This window comes from Homo sapiens, chromosome 11 (genome assembly GCF_000001405.40).
Source record: "Homo sapiens chromosome 11, GRCh38.p14 Primary Assembly".
Lineage (NCBI taxonomy): Eukaryota > Metazoa > Chordata > Mammalia > Primates > Hominidae > Homo > Homo sapiens.
In genome coordinates this window covers 23931575-23937839 of record NC_000011.10, presented here as the reverse complement: position 1 = coordinate 23937839, position 6265 = coordinate 23931575, and the positions used below count along the sequence as shown (strand labels likewise).

The window sequence follows — 6265 nt, the reverse complement described above, 5'->3', positions numbered from 1 at the left end:
GCAACACCCCAATTCTAGTAGTACAAAAACCCAAACGGTCAGTGGAGACTAGTGCAAATCTTAGACTCATTAATGAGGCACTAATTCCTCTATATCCAGTTGTACCCAACCCCTATACCTTGCTCTCTCCAATACCAGAGGAAGCAGAATGGTTCATGGTTCTGGACCTCAAGGATGCCTTCTTCTGTATTCCCTGCACTCTGATTCCCAGTTCCTCTTTGCCTTTGAGGATCCCACAGACCACACATCCCAACTTACATGGACGGTCTTGACCCAAGGGTTTTAGGGATAGCCCGCATCTGTTTGGTCAGGCCCTAGCCCAAGATCTAGGCCACTTCTCAAGTCCAGGCACTCTGGTCCTTCAATATGTGGATGATTTACTTTTGGCTACCAGTTTGGAAGCCTCGTGCCAGCAGGCTACTCTAGGTCTCTTGAACTTTCTAGCTCAAGGGTACAAGGTGTCTAGGTCGAAGGCCCAGCTTTGCCTACAGCAGGTTAAATATCCAGGCCTAATCTTAGCCAAAGGGACCAGGGCCCTCAGCAAGGAACGAATACAGCCTATACTGGCTTATCCTTGCCCTAAGACATTAAAACAGTTGAGGGGGTTCCTTGGAATTACCGGCTTTTGCCGACTATGGATCCCCGGATACAGTGAGATAGCCAGGCCCCTCTATACTCTAATCAAGGAAACCCAGAAGGCAAATACTCATCTAGTCGAATGGGAACCAGAGGCAGAAACAGCCTTCAAAACCTTAAAACAGGCCCTAGTACAAGCTCCAGCTTTGAGCCTTCCCACAGGACAGAACTTCTCCTTATACATCACAGAGAGAGCCGGGATAGCTCTTGGAGTCCTTATTCAGACTCGTGGGACAACCCCACAACCAGTGGCATACCTAAGTAAGGAAATTGATGTAGTAGCAAAAGGCTGGCCTCACTGTTTAAGGGTAGTTGCAGCAGTGGCCATCTTAGCATCAGAGGCTATCAAAATAATACAAGGAAAGGATCTCACTGTCTGGACTACTCGTGATGTAAATGGCATACTAGGTGCCAAAGGAAGTTTATGGCTATCAGACAACCGCCTACTTAGATACCAGGCACTACTCCTTGAGGGACCGGTGCTTCAAATACGCACACACGTGGCCCTCAACCCTGCCACTTTTCTCCCAGAGGATGGGGAACCAATCGAGCATGACTGCCAACAAATTATAGTCCAGACTTACGCCGCCCGAGATGGTCTCTTAGAAGTCCCCTTAACTAATCCTGACCTTAACCTATATACTGATGGAAGTTCATTTGTGGAGAATGGGACACGAAGGGCAGGTTGCGCCATTGTTAGTGATGTAACCATACTTGAAAGCCAGCCTCTTCCCCCAGGGACCAGTGCCCAGTTAGTGGAACTAGTGGCACTTACCCGAGCCTTAGAACTGGGAAAGGGAAAAAGAATAAATGTGTATACAGATAGCAAGTATGCTTATCTAATCCTACATGCCCATGCTGCAATATGGAAAGAGAGGGAGTTCCTAATCTCTGGGGAAACCCCCATTAAATACCACAAGGAAGTTATAGAGTTATTGCATGCAATGCAAAAACACAAAGAGGTGGGAATCTTACAATGACAAAGCCATCAAAATGGGAAGGAGAAGGGAGAACAGCAGCATAAGCAGCTGGCAGAGGCAGCAGAAAGGAAAGAAAGATGGGAAGTCAAAGAGAGACAGAGAGGAAGAGACAAAGAAGAAGTCAGAGAGAAAGAGGGACAGACACAGAAAGTCAAAGAGAGAGTTAAAAAGAGAGGAAGAGACAAGAAGTCGAAGACAGAAAGAGAGAGATGGAAGTAGTAAAGAAAAAACAGTGTACCCTTTTCCTTTAAAAGCCAGGGTGAATTTCTATCTACCCAGCCAAGGCATACTCTACTTATGTGGATCTTCAACCCATATCTGCCTCTTAAACAGTTTGCAAGAAATAACGAAATCTATCCTTACTTTACAATCCCAAATAGACTGTTTGGCAGCAGTGACTCTCCAAAACCGCTGAGGCCTAGACCTCCTCACTGCTGAGAAAGGAGGACTCTGCACCTTCTTAGGGGAAGAGTGTTGTTTTTACAGTAACCAGTCAGGGATAGTACGAAATGCCACCCAGCATTTACAGGAAAAGGCTTCTGAAATCAGACAACGCCTTTCAAATTCTTATGCCAACCTCTGGGGTTGGGCAACATGGCTTCTCCCCTTTCTAGGTCCCATGGCAGCCATCTTGCTGTTACTCGCCTTTGGGCCCTGTATTTTTAACCATCTTATCAAATTTGTTTCCTCTAGAATCAAGGCCATCAAGCTACAGATGGTCTTACAAATGGAACCCCAAATGAGTTCAACTAACAATTTCTACTGAGGACCCCTGGACTGACCCACTGGCACTTTCCCTGGCCTAGAGACTTCCCCTCTGAAGGACACTACAAGTGCAGGGCCCCTTCTTTGCCCTGATCCAGCAGGAAGTAGTTAGAGCAGTCATCAGCCAAATTCCCAACAGCAGTTGGGATGTCCTGTTTAGAGGGGGGATTGAGAGGTGACAGTGTGCTGGCAGTCCTCACAGCCCTCGCTCGCTCTCGGCGTCTCCTCTGCCCAGGCTCCCACTTTGGCCGCACTTGAGGATCCCTTCAGCCCACCGCTGCACTGTGGGACCCCCTTTCTGGGCTGGCCAAGGCCGGAGCCCACTCCCTCAGCTTGCAGGGAGGTGTGGAGGGAGAGGCGCAAGCGGGAACTGGGGCTGCGCGCGGCACTTGAGGGCCAGCTGGAGTTCTGGGTGGGCGTGGGCTTGGCAGGCCCTGCCGGCCCTGGGCAATGAGGGGCTTAGCACCCGGGCCAGAGGCTGTGGAGGGTGTACTGGGTCCCCCAGCAGTGCCAGCCCACCGGCGCTGCGCTTGATTTCTCGCCGGGCCTTAGCTGCCTTCCTGTGGGGCAGGGCTCGGGGCCTGCAGCCCGCCATGCCTGAGCCTCCCACCCCCTCTGTGGGCTCCTGTGCGGCCCAAGCCTCCTCGACGAATGCCACCCCCTGCTCCATGGCGCCCAGCTGGGCTCCTGAGTCTGGTGGGGACGTGGAGAACCTTTATGTCTAGCTCAGGGATTGTAACTACACCAATAGGCACTCTTTATCTAGCTCAAGGTTTGTAAACACACCAATCAGCACCCTGTATCTAGCTCAGGGTTTGTGAGTGCACTAATCGACACTCTATATCTAGCTGCTCTGGTGGGGCCTTGGAGAACCTTTATGTCTAGCTCAGGGATTGTAAATACACCAATAGGCACTCTGCATCTAGCTCAAGGTTTGTAAACACAGCAATCAGCACCCTGTGTCTAGCTCAGGGTTTGTGAATGCACCAATTGACACTCTGTATCTAGCTGCTCTGGTGGGGCCTTGGAGAACCTTTGTGTCCATACTCTGTATCTCACTAATCTGATGGGGCCTTGGAGAACCTTTATGTCTAGCTCAGGGATTATAAACGCACCAATCAGTGCCCTGTCAAAACAGACCACTCGGCTCTACCAATCAGCAGGACGTGGGTGGGGCCAGATAAGAGAATAAAAGCAGGCTGCCCGAGCCAGCAGTAGCAACCCGCTCGGGCCCCCTTCCACACTTTGGAAGCTTTGTTCTTTTGCTCTTTGCAATAAATCTTGCTGCTGCTCACTCTTTGGGTCCACACTGCTTTTATGAACTTTAACACTCACCGCCAAGGTCTGCAGCTTCGCTCCTAAGCCAGCGAGACCACGAACCCACCAGAAGGAAGAAACTCCAAACACATCTGAACATCAGAAGGAAAAACTCCGGACACGCCGCCTTCAAGAACTGTAACACTCACCACGAGGGTCCATGGTTTCGTTCTTGAAGTCAGTGAGACCAAGAACCCACCAATTCCAGACACATTAGAATTACTATACTATTCACATAAGGTAAAAGAGTAGCACAAAAGAGGAAGGAAGCAGTTACCCTTTTGCAGAGCGAGGAAGATAACAAAAGTTTATAAAAAAGAAACCAGCAAGTTTTGAGTTATAGTATAAGACTTAGACAAAATACAATAGTAACAACAGATGCTATGAATCTAATGTGTACTAAGCACATTATTTGCACAAGTTTTTCAATGTAATCTCATCACAACCTATGATATAGGTTATATTGTTATGTATATATTGAAGACGTGGCACTGACACACAGAGAAATTCAGAATTTTGTCCAGAGACACATAGTTGGGAAGAAAAGGATGACATTTGATCCTTACCAAAGCCCTTGCTCCAAGGACAATACTATATTATTGCTCCTGTAAAGGGAGGGAGGACTTTCCTGGCAGAAGTGACATGTGTAACAGCCAGAGGTATGAAACAGCATAGGACTTTTGGAGAACTATTCATAATTCAGCATGCCTGGAGCAAAGGCTATATTTCAGAAGTTGTAAGGTAAAAAGTTTGATGGAATCAGCAGGAAAAAGACAAAAGGGATGGCACGTGCTTTAGATGTGAAAGATGGAATGGAGAAATAGACCTGGCCACGATAGTGAACCACAATAATCAAGATGAGAGAATGCTAGTAGATTGAATAAAGCAAAATAGTAAGTACAAAAAGACTGGTGGTGCTTAGCAAGATAATGATGACAGACAGCAGGCAGGATTTGGAGGTAGATTGGATATGGTGAATAAAGAACACAAGAATGAATGCCATATTTATAAGTTATGCCAACCTAGTAAATGCCAGTGCCACAAACAAGGAAACAGGGAAGAGAGTAGCTATCCCAGAAGTTAGATTCCTCCATTCTCCTGTCTTGGGCAGTTTCATGTGCATCTTTTGACATCCCTATGCCTACTGAACCCTTGTAAAAGCAATCACTATTCTTCAGAAATTTATTCAAGACAGATAAGCCTCTCTCCATGAACCTTTTTGCAGCCTTAGAGCAATGGTTTCCCTTTTGCAGAAAAGAAAGAATCTCCCTTTATCTCCAATCTTTACAATGTCAGTGAAAACAATCTAGTTTCATGGGTTTCCTTTTCAGCCTCTGGATCAGAAACTCCAGCAAGTTGCTTTGAAAACACTTGGCATTGTTTTTGTGAGACATTCAAATTGTTTCATAGACATTATCTCACCAATATTCATTTCATCCCAGTGAAGTAGGCCAAAGAACAATATATTCTTATCTTTAAAGGATAAAAAGAGGTTAAATGACTCATCTGAATAGCTGGAAATAGCAGCTCAGTCTCTGGGATTACCTCTGTGTATAAAAGCAACTGCCACATTACTTCATAAAGGAGTAGAAGTTAAAGGTTATTGATGTTTCACAACACTTGTGTTGTTGGAGTCATCATTTACTGGTAAACAAAGATATCAGAAATGGAACATGAATTGAAGATTGTTTTTTGAAGGTAGATAGTTTATTCTATGTTTCATAAACTGCTCTGACCCATGAAATTCTGTAAATAAGATTCTGAAGGTAATTTTCAAAATCAATGGAATATCCGCAGCATGTGGACAGAAACATTTACTGTGTTTAAAGTATTTTATGATAATGTATCACCCTTATGGCTACTAGCCATTATTTGAAGTTGGAGCAGTATAAATTATATATAATATGTAATGATATTATATTATCCAGATGTTTCTGCCATGCAAAAACATCATAAGAACTCATATTGTTTCTTCTTCATTGTACCTTACTAAAATCTTGAATGTGAAAGTGTAGTCCCCATTCCTAATGAAAAACAAAAATCCACTATTTTGGGAAAAGATACCAAATGATCACTTTTTCTTTCTCAGAATATCTTTTTAACATGGCATTTGAGATTCCACAATCGCTTGATTTTCTTTTGTACTTCTGAAGATTCATTCTTCATATGTTTCCTCATTTCTCCTCAAATTACTAAAATCTAGTCTTGAGATGTTCCAAGGCTTAGCCCTCATACCCAGTCCCTAAGTGACCTCACTGAGTGTCTATTCTCCCTTAGGCTCACTCCGTTCTATCTGTCCACACTGTGCCCTCTGTTCTCATCAGGCACACTGGGGGCCTTTGCACTTACTTGCTGCTTCTGTCATTATTTTTGATGATAGACATTCACTATAATTATTTCCTCACCCCATTCAGGCCTTTCCTATTCCTCCAAGTTAAACACTTTAAACTCCTCTTCCTACTCCCACAACCCAATCCTCTTTTTTTGTCCTTTTTTTCGCCTTTGAAGCTATTACTACTTAACATGCTAAACACAGATTTTATATAGCTTTCTTATAGTCCATCTAT

General features: G+C 45.0%; 2 annotated features.

The window, feature by feature from the left end:
* Window positions 2404-2903: an enhancer, noted in NCBI's record as "H3K4me1 hESC enhancer chr11:23956483-23956982 (GRCh37/hg19 assembly coordinates)". NCBI's record gives its function as "activates a minimal SCP1, AML or CMV promoter by ChIP-STARR-seq in primed H9 embryonic stem cells {active_cell/tissue: H9 hESC(primed)}" and the evidence as "EXISTENCE:reporter gene assay evidence [ECO:0000049][PMID:30033119]".
* Window positions 2904-3405: an enhancer, noted in NCBI's record as "H3K4me1 hESC enhancer chr11:23955981-23956482 (GRCh37/hg19 assembly coordinates)". NCBI's record gives its function as "activates a minimal SCP1, AML or CMV promoter by ChIP-STARR-seq in naive H9 embryonic stem cells {active_cell/tissue: H9 hESC(naive)}" and the evidence as "EXISTENCE:reporter gene assay evidence [ECO:0000049][PMID:30033119]".